Raw genomic sequence first — 14,704 nt, forward strand, 5'->3', positions numbered from 1 at the left:
ACAAATTATTGCAATTTACCTCTTTTGCCCAAGAGAAAGAAGCTGAGAACAGAGAAGCTTTGATAGGATTTGATAGGGAGAGTGAGGCGCCAGGCCACCGTGTCCAGTTAACCAAGCCTCCTCCCACCCTGGCCATGAGCTAGAATAATGCTCATGTATTTGCTGGTTAAAGGAGATGGCTTGGGGACCTGGGTTATCCCTGCAGGGAGCAACTATCTCCTCTGCTCATCTTAAACAAGATAATTGCAAAGCGGTTCCCTGCCAGCCCATCCTCTTAACAAAGAAGGTGAGATAAAAGAGATGGCATTCCTCCTGCTGGGCCCAGCAGGCTTGACAACCAGTGCCAGTCATGGGGAAAATGTCCCTTTCAGCCAACTCGAGATCTTTCAAAACAGACCCAGGCAGTTTCTTTGAGGGCTGAAAGCCAGGAAACGGGTTCCTGTTGGCCGAGGCTTGGAAGGAGGGCCTGCCTGGTCCGTTGGCCCATACCAGGCTTCCTTAGCGCCTCTGCTAGGAGCCAGTTATCCTGCAGGCTGACTCAGCCTCTGCCCAGCCATGATCTGAAGCTGCTCTCTGCTGTTTTAAGCTGAGCACTGCAACCAGGGACCTCAGACACCAGAGACAATGCAGGCCTCCAGAAAGCAGGAGAAGGACTTCTAAATCAAGGCTGGCAGGAGGAATGGGAAATGGGCATTCAAGGACATGGCAGTATGCTATGCTCTGTACATCAGGACCTCATGGAAACCAGAAAGGTAGGATGATAATTCCTATCCATGCCAGGCTGGACCTCATGTCCCTCATCGGGCTCCCACAGCTGTGTGAGCATTCTTTACCAACGTGGCACTTCTGGAATCCCTTGTTTACCTTCTTCTCCACTGCTCTATAAATGTAGTGAAATTTCCAGGTGTGGTGGCTCATGTCTGTAGTCCCAGCACTTTGGGAGGCCGAGGTGGAAGGATCACTTGAGCCCAGGAGTTTGAGGCTGCAGTGAGCTATGATGGCACCACTGCACTTCAGCCCAGGTGACAGAGTGAGACCCTGTCTTTAAAAAATAAAATAAATGCAGTGACACAAGACAACCTATGTCTGTTTTATTCTCAAAGCTGCGTGTGTCCCCAAAGCCAAGTGAGGTGTCTGGGCCTAGTTAATGACCAATGAACATTGGCTCTGAAGGAGTGAAATTACACCACTCGGGCATATTGACACTAAGTTAAAGCCACTTGAAAAACAGCAGGTGTGGCCGGGCGCGGTGGCTCATACCTGTAATTCCAGCACTTTGGGAGGCCGAGGCGGGAGGATCACGAGGTCAGGAGATCGAGACCATCCTGGCTAATATGGTGAAACCCTGTCTCTACTAAAGATACAAAAAAAAAAAAAAAAAAATTAGCCTGGCGGGGTGGTGGGCGCCTATAGTCCTAGCTACTCGGGAGGCTGAGGCAGGAGAATGGCGTGAACCCGGAAGGCAGAGCTTGCAGTGAGCGGAGATCGCTTTACTGCACTCCAGCCTGGGTGACAGAGCAAGACTCCGTCTCGAAAAAAAAAACAAGAAAAAGAAAAATAGCAGATGCAAGAAGATCACTCTGACCTTCATGCCATTTGTTAAAAGCAAAAGATGAGATCCCTATGTGAAAGATGCAACAGTCTTATTCTCAAAGATGAGAAGCTAAGATGGAAAGAATTCTGTACCAACCTTGTGCAAATAACTCTTACCTTTTAAGCCTCCCCACATCATTTAGTTGCTTCTTCACAACTTACTATTATTTGTCCAATTCAGTATATCTGACTACTTCTTCAGGACTTTATTTCCTTATGAGGGTACCTGTGCTACATAAAACTTGTATTTAAAAATGTGCATGCTTTCCTCCTGTTCATCTGTCTTATGTCAGTTAAATTCTCCAGCACAAGCAGGACCCTAAGAGTATGGAAGTGGAATTTTGCTGCCCCTACAGTTGATTACATGAGTGAATAAATGATTGAGTGAATTTTGAATTATAACGAAGAAGCTAAATATCTCAGTCATGGTTTTTCTTCCTAAGAAAATTAATCTGTTAAGATCACAGAGTTGTAACAACAGCAACAAAAACCTAGCTCTTTAAAAATAAAAAGGAACTCTTTTCTGAATTAGCAATGTCCGGAGAGATTTTTGGTTGTGACGACTGGGGCAGGGGGTACTACTGGCATCTAATGGGGGCCAGGGATGCCGCTGACACCCTGCAATGTACAGGACAGCCCCCACACAAAGAACTGTCCCACCTGAAATGTGAGTAGTTGGTTGTGCTGAGGTTGAGGAAGCCAACTCAAGGAAGTCACCTGCCGGAGGGATGCTGTTGACACTGCTTGCTACAGCAAAAGCTGCTGCTGAGAATGTGCTCCAGTTGAAAGCAAAGACTGAAAAACTGAAAAGAGCCAGGCGCGGTGGCTCACACCATAATCTCAACACTTTGGAAGGCTGAGGTGGGCGGATCACTTAAGGTTAGGAGTTTGAGACCAGCCTGGCCAACATGGTGAAACCTGTCTCTACTAAAAATACAAAAATTAGCTGGGCATGGCGGCATGTGCCTGTTAATCCGAGCTACTGGCGAGGCTGAGGCACAAGAATTGATTGAACCTGGGGGGCAAAGGTTGCAGTGACCTGAGATTGCGTCACTGCACTCCAGCCTGGGCAACAGAGCGAGACTCCATCTCAAAAAAAAAAAAAAAAAAACCAGAAAAGAAAGGAATAACTGAAAAGAGCAAGAGCCACTTAGAAGCCAGATATGGTGGTGCGTGCCTGTAGTCCCAACTACTCGACAGGCTGAGATGTGATGATCCCTTGAGCCCAGGAGTTTGAAGCTGCAGAGAGCCATGATCGCACCACTGCACTCCAGCCTAGGCAACAGAGTGGGACCCAAGAAGTTTTTTTAAGCCACTTAGAGAAGGTTTTACAAGTTACATGAGCAAAAGCTAAATAACTAGTACATCCATGTGCCATAAAGTGAAGAAACGGATGAGGTCTCTATGGGACATGTCAGCTAAACCCAAGAATGTGTTTGTTTCTTGTGGCTGAGACAGTGATCAAGGCAGCTTTCCTCCCAGGGCAAAGACTGTGGTTTGTTTGCGGCCATTTAATTTGGCAAAACCTGAGTTTTGATGAATACTTTGCAATCTTCAAATAATATTCATTTTGTTTCCAAATCCAATGAACTAGAGGCTGTAATTGAAAGAAGAAGAAAGGGAGGGAGGTAGGACAGAGAAAGGAATAGAAAGAGGGAGGGCAGGAAGGCAGCCATGAAAGAAGGCGTAATTGTCAAAAATCCAAGTTATTTGAGGCATACTGCTTGACCTGACTTTATGCAGTACAAACAAAATCAGGGTAAGCTAGAATTCAGAAGACAATGGTACCACTGTGTTTCTCTCTGGAGCGTTCTCAGAAGTGTGACCTTTTCTAATCCCAAACTGCTTAAAAAATGATGTCTCCTTGGGGTGCCATTTAGATTAATCTGTGATGGGACCAGAAGCGAGCTAAGCTGATGATTCTAATTCAATTGCCAGTGAAATGGTGTCTGTCTCCATCTGTAAACGTCCTCATCCTGCTCTCAATGGGGCCACATTGACGGCTGCAGCCAGCATTATCCCTTACAATCCTTTTAATTTTTTGGCTGCATGATGTGATCTTCTGTGAAGGCAGCACTAGTTCAAACGAAGTATTTCTTATACAAGAGCACGAGCCCTCAGTTACGTTCTTAAGAACTCATTCCTTGCCTGTGTGCCTAAACCACCCTAGCTAATAAACTCCCCTCAAATGTGGCTTTCCTCATCTCACCAGCCTGGTGGCATATGCTGGGGTGGGGGCGTGTCATGCCATTTTATGCATGGGGGTTCAGGGTCTGTGATTACCTTGTCCAAGGTTAATCAGTGGGTGAGAAGCAGGTGCAGGACCCCAGGCTATTCTGTTCACAAGGGTAGTGCTTTTTTCATCAGACAACACACATCTCTATGGCAGTGTCCAAATGGTGCCTAACGTAGAAGGTGGGCCCCGAAAGTGCACTTCAGTTTATACTGGCCACTCAGCCCGCATCTGCTTGCAGCAAGCTTAAATGTGTCTGACTGCGGCCATCTTGGCTCCCTCAAGGCCACCAAAGCAAGTCCTGTGGTTGCTTCCTTTTGCTATTGCGAAGCCCCTTCAGAGTCTACTTTGTCCTACTGCAGTAGCAGTGAGGCCCGTCCATCAGGGATGCTGGGCTATGAACCGGGCTTCTTGTCTTGCAGCCACTTCCATCATCCCAGGGATACAAGTTACTCCAAACCTAGCTTCCCTGCAATTCCATTTCCCACACCAAAACATGGAAAGGATAATGCTGACATCCCACCAGGGCCTGTGGGGACAACCGATTTTGTTGTGTGACTGAACAGCTTTGCCATCTTCAAGTCCCTATGAAGGCACAAACCCTGATAGCCATTTATATGTAAGACACTAGTATGATGAGCAAGGAGGTTTTTATCCTTCTTAAAAAAAATAAATAGGGGAGTGGAAGAGTGGAATGGTCATTGTACCAGATCAGGTTATAATCGCAAAATGCTGCAACAGAATCTAAGTGAAAAGACCCAGTTTAGGGTCCCTGGGGCTAGCCTGGCTCATGGGACAAGAAAACGTGCGTCCTTGGCATAGGGTATCTAATGTCTTGGGACGTCTCTGGAATGTTTCATCTAAGATTCTTTTTTCCTTTTAAAATTAATTAGCTGATTAAGAATTAATCACATGAACTATTAATTTGTATTGCTATTTATTAAAATATTAATATTTACATAATTTATTGATATAATATTCAATTGTTTGATAGGTAATTAATACATTCCGACTCACCCAGCAAGAACATTTTTGTGGTGACAAGGTAAAGAGTAGGATGACAATTGGATGACCCAAAACTTAGACCTCAGTAAGTGAAAAACGTGTTGTTATCAATGCTCCTAACTTGTATCATTATCTAACAAGATTTTCCAGGCAGTGGCAGCTTTAGAATCCTATCTTCTCTCAGTTTCCTTTTCCTAGTAGCTGCCAGTTAGGATGCCAACCATCCCTGATTTTATGTAGGATGATGATAGCCAGGGGCAAATGAGGAAGACTCACAGAAATCTAGGACTAAATATAAGAATTTTAAAAATGGGAGATTTTTATGGTAAAGAATGTGAGGTTTGTAGTTTTTTAATCTCCACAGGAGAAATGAACAAATGATTCCATGTAAGAACACTGGAAGATACTAAATTCCACCTTGATATTTTCCAGGAATGTCAGTCACATCCTCAGTCTTGGTTGACTTCCTGAAAGTGTCCTCTCCAGTCTTGAGGGACCTCCTGCTCCAGGAAGCCTGCCCTGATGTCCCAGCCAGAGATGGTCCTCTGAATTTCCCCTGGCCTTCACCTGGCTTCTCTGGGAGCACAGTCACAATTCATTGTATATTATCACTAATTGGATACTTATTTCATGTCCTGTGTTCACAGTGGTAACTAGCATGTATACATTACTTATAGTTTGATAACAGCCTTTCTTTCACATCTACTAAAACAATGATAATTCCTAATATTAATTATATTTGCTGTGGGTCAAGTATTCATTTAGGGCTTTACTTGGAGTATTTCATGTAATCCCCACGCAGCCCTGTATCTCTACTAAAAAGAGGAAAAATTAGCTAGGTATGGTGGCACCACCTGTAGTTCCAGCTACTCAGGAAGCTGAGGCAGGAGAATTGCTTGAACCTGGGAGGCGGAGGTTGCAGTGAGCCGAGATTGTGCCACCACACTCCAGCCTGGCTGACAGAGAGATTCCGTCTAAACAAACAAACAAAAAAAGCTTTGCTACTCTAAGCACTAACCGCTTCCTCCTCCACCTTCCCTTCTCAGCTTTCCTTCCCAGAATGCAGATGCTATCCTGGAGGGCGAGCTGCCCAAATGGGATGTGGAGGCAGCAGCATGACGACAAAAGATGCAATCTGAAGCTGGTGGAGCCACAGGACGGGAGCTGGACAGTGAGGGTTTCATGGAGGCCGTGCACAGGACTGCCCCCATCTGCAGGGACACTGTGGTTATTCAGTCTTGCTGTGCACCTAAGGGCAGTTGCCAAGCGGTGGCAGCTACAAAGCTGGGGAGGGGCTCTGTGAACCAGGGCCTCCTATGGCTCCTGTTGGGTTTGGGCCAATGGGAGGCTCCAAGATACACCTCAGCCTCGCACTCTTGGCTCCCATTCTTGGTGGGTACAGGTTCCCCCCGCCTTGTGTCTGCAGGCCTAGCACTGGGAACGACTTCCTTCTGAGCTACTTTCTGAGTGCTTCCACCCCTTCCTGGCTTCCTTAATCCTACCTGCGCCTCTCCAAAGGGTCCCTTCATTCAATTATCTTCAGTTTAACCCTTTGAGCTGCCATCCATTTGCTGCACACAGGGACAGGTGGCTCACTGCTTCACAGGCAGCAACCATACAACTGTGGCTTGTCTTCCTACGTCTTCTGCATCTGAAATAACAAAGAACTTCCATCAGGGCTCAGTGTCAGGCAGAATTAATTTCAAGTCTCTATTTTATTTACTTCCTGCAGGAGTTCAATCATTTGCCCAAAATTACCCAGCTGGTAATTGTCCGTTTCATTGTCTGCTACATGGGGATATAACGTCTACTCCTCATAGAACTATTGTGAGAATAAAGTGGAATAACAATGTATGCAACATGGACAGATTTTGTTAAAAAAAAAAAACACACACAGGATGCCCAGTTAAATTTAAATTTCAGATCAACAATGCTTTTAGTATGTCTGTGCAATATTTGGGATATACTTGTACTAAAAAATTATTTATCTGATATTGATATGTAACTGGATGGCCTGTATTTTATTACTTTATTTACTTATTTATTTTTGAGATGGAGGATCTCACTCATGTTGCCCAGGCTGGTCTCAAACTCCTGGGCTCAAGCGATCCTCCCACGTAGTTGAGATTACAGGTGTGTGCCGCTGTGTGCCGCTGCACCCAGCCTATCCTGTATTTTATCAGGTGAACCTAAATATCTGTGAAGTGCATAGCACATCGTCTGCACATTACTTAGCCTCTAGTGAATAGTAGAAGCTAATATTATTATAATTTGTAATTCCCATATTACTAACCCCTAACCTAAAACAATACCTGACATAATGCTCAAAAAAACAGCAAAAATGAATAAAGAAATGAACAAATGGAGAAACTGAAAACCACAGAGGCATTTTGTCTGCAGCGAAAGATGCCCAGCTGACAATGGCAGAGGAGAGTCTGGAATTTAAATGTCCTTGATTCGAGCCCAGTGTTCCTTCCTCCAAATCGCATTGGGAACAAAGTGAAAGGAACTGCCAGAAGAGGCAGGTGACCAAGACATGGCAGCGAGTAGATCCCCAAAGTTGCTGAAAAAACCTTTTATCTTTTACCCATCAAAATAATTATGTCCTTATTTTTAAATCAGTTTAGATTACAGACTGGGACTGAAGCTTCCTATCAAAGACATTTGCAGTTTTGTATCAGTCTCAGCAATTTCATGTCCATCTCAGCAATCAAACATTTCTCCATTTTGTTTTTGCTGCAGTGTAACTGCATTGAGAAAATCTTGGTTTGGGCAGATGAGCACTTGCAATTGATAAAGTATTTTTAAAAATTCACCTTGCAATCCAAGGATACTGTTAATAGAGATGTCAGGAAAAATTATATTCCCAGATCTTTTCCAAAGCAACTCAAGCTTAGCAAGGCAAATTAACGTGTCAAGGATGTATTATATTAGAATTTGGTTCTTGAAGAGTGGGCTGGCTCTCTTCTCTTCCCTGGAGCAATGGAGTCATGGCTGGGCCTGGGGCCACCTAACCAGGGGCTGCCAGCCTCCTATTCCAGCCACCTGCCCCTCCAAGGTAGATATGCTCACCTGACTAACAGTTCCTCCTAAAATGGGAGTGGACATGGCGGGGGTGTGGCCCTGAAGACTGCACGTGTGCCTCTGCCACACTTTCTGCCTCTTCTCAAACCAAAATGTAGATGCAACTCAGCCTCAGCCTGGCAAACAAGACAGATGATGGGAAAGCATGAGGACAGACACACCCCAGGACCTGGAATATTCATTTGGAACTGCAAGTTCCGTGAGCCTAGTGGGTTCTTAACAGTTAAATGATGTCTCTGTCGAGATTGGTGGTAACCTGTAGAAATGTGATTTTTAAAAATACTTTCCAAAATTTGTCCACATTTGAAAGATTAGCATAACTCAATGAATCACTTTTTTTCAAATAATCAAATAATGGCACAAAATTGTGCACAGATAAAAGTTGTGTTCCAAGTGGATTTTGACAGGGGGGCTAAAGATTCATTGATAGGGTTTCAGATTTCACACTGCATGAACCTTTAAGAAATTTTCACTTGTTGGATTTTGGTATAGTGCCAAGGATAAAAATCCAGTTCTCTGAAAACGCTATTCAAGTTCTTATTCCTTTTCCAACTGTGAATCTGTGGGAGACCATTTTCTTTATGTATTTCCAAAAAAAAAAAAAATGTATTTCACACATTGAATGGAGAAGGCAGACGTGATTTTCCAAAATGTAAAACAATGTTACTCTTCTACTAGTGTTTTGAAAAAGATTTTTCTTTAAAGTTTGCTATGATAACATGTAATGGGTTTGTAATTGGTAGAGACATTAATAAATGTTTAAAATTTTTTGTCTTTCCATTTTTGGAAAGATACATAACCAAAAGCTCTTTGGGGGTCTTCAATAATTTCCTAGTGTCAAGAGCACCACATTGTACTGGTTTACAGCACAAAGGGGCCCCCAGCTCTCAGAGGTCCAGATACGACACATGAGGTTCTAACAGGCTCAGGGTCAAACACTGGCCTAAGGTTGAACCCAAGAGATCCTTTTGCTAACACAGTAATCATTTGAAGAAAAATTGTTATGCTAAACAATGTCAGTTTGGTGATCAATACATTTTTGTTAATGCAGTGATCAGCTGTAAATGTGAAAACTCTGCAGCAGGGATTCGATTCCACCATATCCTGTCAGTCTGCACAGGCATACACACACACACACACACATTCACTTCTCAAAAACTGATCCAATTGTTCAAATGCATGTTATCTACATGATCATTTCAAAAGGGCAGTGCCCTAATGGAAGCAGACTTTGTTCTACATCCCCAAGAAGCTCTTAGGATCTAAGTCTTCTAGTTGAGCTTCTTCTAACCAAAAGGTCGGTGTGTCAGAGCTGGAAACAGAAGCCAACATCCCTTAAGTCTGGCTTTCTTCTCACTACACTGCTTCCTCTAGGGCGAGTGCCAGGTCTGCAAGTCTCTAAGCTGACCAATGAGCATGACAGGAGATGCCTGCACCCTCCCCTCCCCTCTCCATCCACAGGTGTTGATCCTTGCTGGTCATAATTAATCTCAGATCAATGTCTTGTTCCACTGCAGCCCGAGGTCTTGGAATCCTGAACAGTGTTCCAGGTAGCCAAAGCTGGTCTGCAGAATGAAGCTGATGTGCACAAAGATATTCTGCCTTCAACGGAGGTGTGAGGATCAGCTCCGTCTGGGTCATGCCTGGAGTCCAGCTTCTCTCCTCTCCCAAAATGACTCCGATTTGGTGCTCAACCTTGTGATCACAGATTGCCAATAAACGATTAGCTTGAAAATGCTGCCTGCATTCTTCTCTCTCCAGGGATAAAAGGTGGCTTGAGTTTTCTCCTTTAAAGTGTACTTGTGAATATAAAGATCTTCCTCCCTGAAACTGATGCAGATCCTGGGTAGAGATTTTTTTAAGCCTTTAATTTCATTGCATGAAGGAACAAGAGGTACCTCCCTTCTGCCATGGATCTTCTAAGCCTCAGGGCCTTGTTTGTACCTTGAGTCTGTGGCTTTTTTTCAAAAATGGAGCCACACTATCTGCATTATTCTGTAACTTAGTTTTTAATCACATATTTTGAAAACTTTCCCATGTATGGACATAATATCCATGAAAAAAATTTAACCTGTACTAAAGATAAAAAAATTTAACCTGTATTAAAGACAAATTATGTCAGGTGTTAAACAAACACACCCTTTGGTCTAGTACATGTTGAAAGTTTTTGTGCCATTTGTCTTTTTTGATTTTGGGACTGGTGGTTTTTCCCTCTTCAACAGATTTTAAAAATACATAGTCAAATATATCACTTCTATTCTCTACCATTTTTGTCATTCTTAGAAACACTAGCGTTTGTGTGGCTAAATTCAGTATTTTCTTGCCCTCTTACGGTTTTTGCTGCAAAGACAAGGTAAGCAAGACTATTTTTGTCACCCAGTTTTATCATCACCATTTACTGAATGGTTCACCATTCCCATTGATGTGAAAAGTACCTTCTTCCTAACCCAAAATACACATAGGAACAAAGTCATTTGTGGACTTTTAATTATTAAGAGGCAGCCCCAGCTTCAGATGTTAGAGACTAACATTTTATCCCCTGACTTTTCTAAGAAGCAGTATCCTTAGACTCTTCGAAGACTTTTTTTTTAATTGGGATTGCACATTTAGACAACTTTACAATTGTTACAAAAGTACAAAAGGCAGTTTCAAAGAACAGTGCCTTTCACTTTGCAATGAATTTGGATGTTTGGGAATTTGATTTTTAACATCTAAATGCATGCTATTCCTTACCTGAAAGCTATACAGGCTGCTAAGAATTTGAGAAGTAGATGGGATGCAGACATCATCTGGTCCAGTGTTTTCAGTTGACAAAGAAACTTAGGCTCAGAGAAGGGCAGGGATGTGACCCAGGTCAGAGGGTGATCTGGCGGTATGGTTGGGAGCAGGAACCGAGGGTTCCAGCCCCTTCTCTGGGGCTTCCCTTCCACCACATGATGGATCTGACAATCCTGTGTTCCAAACATTTCCTGCCTGAGGCTGCAGACTGGTAAGACCTCTAAAGCCATGAAAATCCCACAAACGTTCCTCCCCACCCAGCCGCCCCACACACCCCCATCACACAAAGTCAGTGACCCACAGTGAAGAGAAAAGATATTTAATTATTTCTCAGGCTAATCTCTTAAAGCGCTCAAAGTGTTTTCACAAGTGCAAGGGGAGGGATTGTTCTCAGCCAACATTTACCAGTGATTCCGACACACGCAAAAACACTCCCAATCACGGTGCTTTATACTTACTTTTAATTTCTGCACTGAAAAAGAAAAGGAAGGTAAAAACAATGACAGATTAGTTTACAGTGACTTCATCTTTGTCCTTAAATTAACCTTTGCTCTTGAGAGCAGAAGAGGGAAAGACAGGGGAACATCAAAGCATGATGGTGAAACGGTGACCAGGACACCTCGGTCTGGCTAACAAGGGTTCTAAAAACTTGGACACGGTGCCGTCAACGCACTAGTTTGTAAACACTGACAGGCAACAGTTAAGATACATTAAAAAAAAAGGAAAGATACCCACAATTCCATTCTTAAAATCAAGCACAAAATCTGACAATGAAACATATCCAGGGGTTGTGTGTCCCCATCTGATCTGGAGGTGGCGCTCTGAAGGCAGCCACAAGGTGTGAGTCACACACTAGGGAGACAGACATCTGTTCAACACAGAATTCCGGCTTTGCTGAACTGCAATGCATATTCCCTCTTCTCACTAGTACAGAAATGTTCTGCAGGCAGGAACATGAGCCCCCCGGCTCATTCACCTGTACAACCTCCCCTGACAGATAGTGAGAGCCGCGGCGGGGCCAGGGGCTCTGTGTGCTTTGGAGGCTACTGCCTCTGGAATGTTTCGCATTCTCAAGGTTTGGTTGGGCTGTGGGTTTTAGTTATGCTCCACACATTGTTTAGGTGCTCGCTTTATTTTTCATGTGCAAACTGTTACTGTCTAAAGCTTTCAGAAGAACGTGTACAGACACCCTGCAGAGACGAGGGTCATGACTGGGCCCTCCTGCCTCTTGTGGTGGGGTGGGGGCATGGGGGCGCGTCACAGAAATAGAGAAATGACATGTTCCGCTGCAGTTAAACTCTAGTCCCTGATTCGGTCCATCCAGAGGCGGGGGTGGGGCTCCTCAGTAGGTGATTGTCCACTCCTTGACAGAGGCATCATGGGAGGTCGTGACCAGCGTGTGCTCGTCCAGCCAGGCCAGGCTGCTGACATGGTGCAGCCGGTGTGCATCTGGGAAGAAAGGGTGCAATTTAACGAAAAGCCAAACTTCTCTGCAACTATGTACATCTTGGACTAGGAAGATGGAACAACCTGTGCCTAAATCATCTCCAGGGCCAAGAAAATGGCCACGAATCGTTGTAACTCAGGAGCCTGGCACGGTGGCAGTGTGGCTGAATTCTCCACGTGACACTCCTGAACCCCGGGGCCGGGTACCTCTTTTTTGTGTGCTGCAGGGTAATTAGCAGCATCCCTGGCTCCACCTACAGATGCCAGTGGCTCCCTCTCTCCAAGTCTTGACAACCAAGTTCCACAGGAGTGAAATAACAATGTCTTCTTATGTATAAAAGCGATGACATGCAGACACCACACAAACAGCTACACTGTATCCATGCCCTATTAAAATGGGGCAGGCATGACAACCAGTAAGAGGCTGGAACACACAGGACTGGGGGGGCCACTGACTTTCCCCTCTGTGACAGTCACACCGTGGGTGAACAGATTCGATTCCCCATAATCTTGCCTCCACCCAACCGAGATGCCAATAGTGAGACGGTGCCTGTGCGCTTATGGCTCCTCTGTGGCTAGCTCTGCCCATGAAGCCCAGGGAGGCTCCCAGCTGCAGGCAAGGGGGTTCCCACCAGCTCTCTGCTCCCCAGGTCCGGGTGGCCCCCAGCCTCTAGATCTGCAGCCCCACCTAGACAGGGTGAGATTCAGCCCCCACCCCTGCCTGGCACGGCATACATCCTGATGAAGGAAGCCTTGGCCTGCGGGTGGCACAGGTGCCCAGGAGCGCCTTCAACCACCAAGCATGACTTGGCTGTGAGGCCAGGCTTTAGCACTCTGTCCACATCACCAGGCTGGCTCTTTTCCAGATGCAGAACTCAACTATCTGCACGAGAACCCGATGCTGAGGTCACTTCATGTTTGGTGGCCTGTGACCTCACAGTGAAGACACAGACCCCGACCTCCTAATCTCTATCTGACTAGCTCTTGCTGTATTTTTTTCTGGATCCATTTCATTCATGAACTTGTTTGATTCTCACTACCAGACTGGCGATTGCCTTATAAACCAGGACGGACGTTGAAACCTGCTTTGTCTCTCCTCCCTTCCAGACCGGGCTGCCTTCCCTCTTTGCCTGTCCTGCACCTGAAGCCTGCAGCTGGGGAATGGGCTCTGGGGGTGGGCTCAGACATTTTTAAATAGGAAAGGGCCCCATTAATGTTTAACACAAAAGGATGTCTTCAAGGAGAATGGATGAGGGGACTTGACTACACACTAGGAGGAGAGTGGTAGGGGGGCACTCGGGGAGGGGAGGGTTTGGACAACACAGAGCTGCCTTACAATACGTGCATGGCCACGCGGGGACATCACAACCCCCTCAGGGAGAAATGATGACATGCGGGGCTAAATAAAACCTACTGTTACAAATCATTTCACCTGTTTCTTTTTTAAATGTGGCTACCAGGAAATTTCAACGCCACATGAGGCTCACATTATACACTGGACGTGGCTGTCTTAGGGAGGGGGAGACCCTGGTCCCAGGTGGGATTTAAGGGGTGAGTGGGGGAAGTGAAGATGTCAAAAGTGAGGCCTTCACTCAGCTCAGCAGGTGTCCTGTGCATGGGGCCCCCGTGGTCCCTCAGTACGGCCAGCAGCGCAGCTGGTGTTTGCTGGATGGAAGGAGACCCACAACTCTTCCGGGCCACCTGTCTAGAAGCACAGAGGCTACTTAGCCCTGGGGACTGAAGCCAGGGGACAGCCTGTGAGGTGGCCCATGGAGCCCCGAACCATGGGTGGTCCCTGCCAAGGCCTGGGGGCGGAAGTCACCTTGGATCTTGACTCTGGTTTCCGGGTCACTCAGGGTCCAAACATACACCATCATGTCCATGCCACCGGAGGCAAAGTGTTCATTGTCTGGGGACCAGGCCAGGCAGACGATTTTTGCATGGTGTCCATAAAAAACATTGTTCTCCTAGTTGCAGGTTGAAAACAAGAGAGGTGGCAGGTCAGGTTCAGGCCGCAGTTGCCCATATCACCTCGCTTATCCCTCATGGCGACAATAAGGACCGAGGTTTCTCACGCGCTAACTCTATGCCAGCGACCCCTGCAAACCCACTGACTCCTCAGAAGCATGGCACGAGGCACCTGCTACTTGTAGAGGCAAGAAAACTACAGCTCAGACAGGCTCAGCTCAAGGTCACCAAGTCACAGATAACCTCCCACTGCCACCTGCACCGCCCAGCACGGGGACAGAGGAGGAGCCCGCCGCCACTCACCGAGTAGCCGTCAGCAACGCTGAACACTGTGACCACCTTGCTGGCGTCGCACACCGCGAGGAAGGCGCCGTCGTGGGAGTAGGCCACGTCGGTCACGGGGCCCTTGGCCTCTAGGAGCTTGCCCTCATCCTTCAGCGTGGTGCCCAGGATGGAATACAGGCGGACGTTGCCGTCCTACGGCAGGGACAGAGAGGAAGTGAGCCACCCCTGAACACACACACCACACCCATCCTTTGTGAAGGGGGGGTCGAGGGCTTAAGAAACTGTGCCGTTCCCACTGACTGCTGCTCTGCT

General features: G+C 46.0%; 1 protein-coding gene and 1 long non-coding RNA gene across 4 annotated transcripts in view, besides 1 other annotated feature; one reads left to right on the top strand and one right to left on the bottom strand.

Annotated features, from left to right (window-relative positions):
• Positions 1-615: an enhancer, noted in NCBI's record as "OCT4-NANOG hESC enhancer chr4:10064967-10065581 (GRCh37/hg19 assembly coordinates)". NCBI's record gives its function as "activates a minimal SCP1, AML or CMV promoter by ChIP-STARR-seq in naive H9 embryonic stem cells {active_cell/tissue: H9 hESC(naive)}" and the evidence as "EXISTENCE:reporter gene assay evidence [ECO:0000049][PMID:30033119]".
• LOC124900665 (uncharacterized) lies at positions 672-9,650 on the top strand. The gene is made up of 2 exons (XR_007058029.1): positions 672-752; positions 9,433-9,650. It is a non-coding gene; the product is annotated as an uncharacterized LOC124900665 (long non-coding RNA).
• Positions 10,997-14,704, bottom strand: part of WDR1 (WD repeat domain 1) — a 42,461-nt gene continuing 38,753 nt past the window's right edge. For all 3 annotated transcript variants that reach the window (NM_005112.5, NM_017491.5, XM_017008880.3), the window contains 3 exons: positions 14,411-14,584; positions 13,962-14,106; positions 10,997-12,142 (listed from right to left, as the gene is read on the bottom strand). In NM_005112.5, coding sequence (NP_005103.2) covers positions 12,036-12,142; positions 13,962-14,106; positions 14,411-14,584 — 426 coding nt within the window. In that variant the 3' untranslated portion in view covers positions 10,997-12,035. The remainder of the gene's footprint in view (positions 12,143-13,961; positions 14,107-14,410; positions 14,585-14,704) is intronic.

This window comes from Homo sapiens, chromosome 4 (genome assembly GCF_000001405.40).
Source record: "Homo sapiens chromosome 4, GRCh38.p14 Primary Assembly".
NCBI lineage: Eukaryota > Metazoa > Chordata > Mammalia > Primates > Hominidae > Homo > Homo sapiens.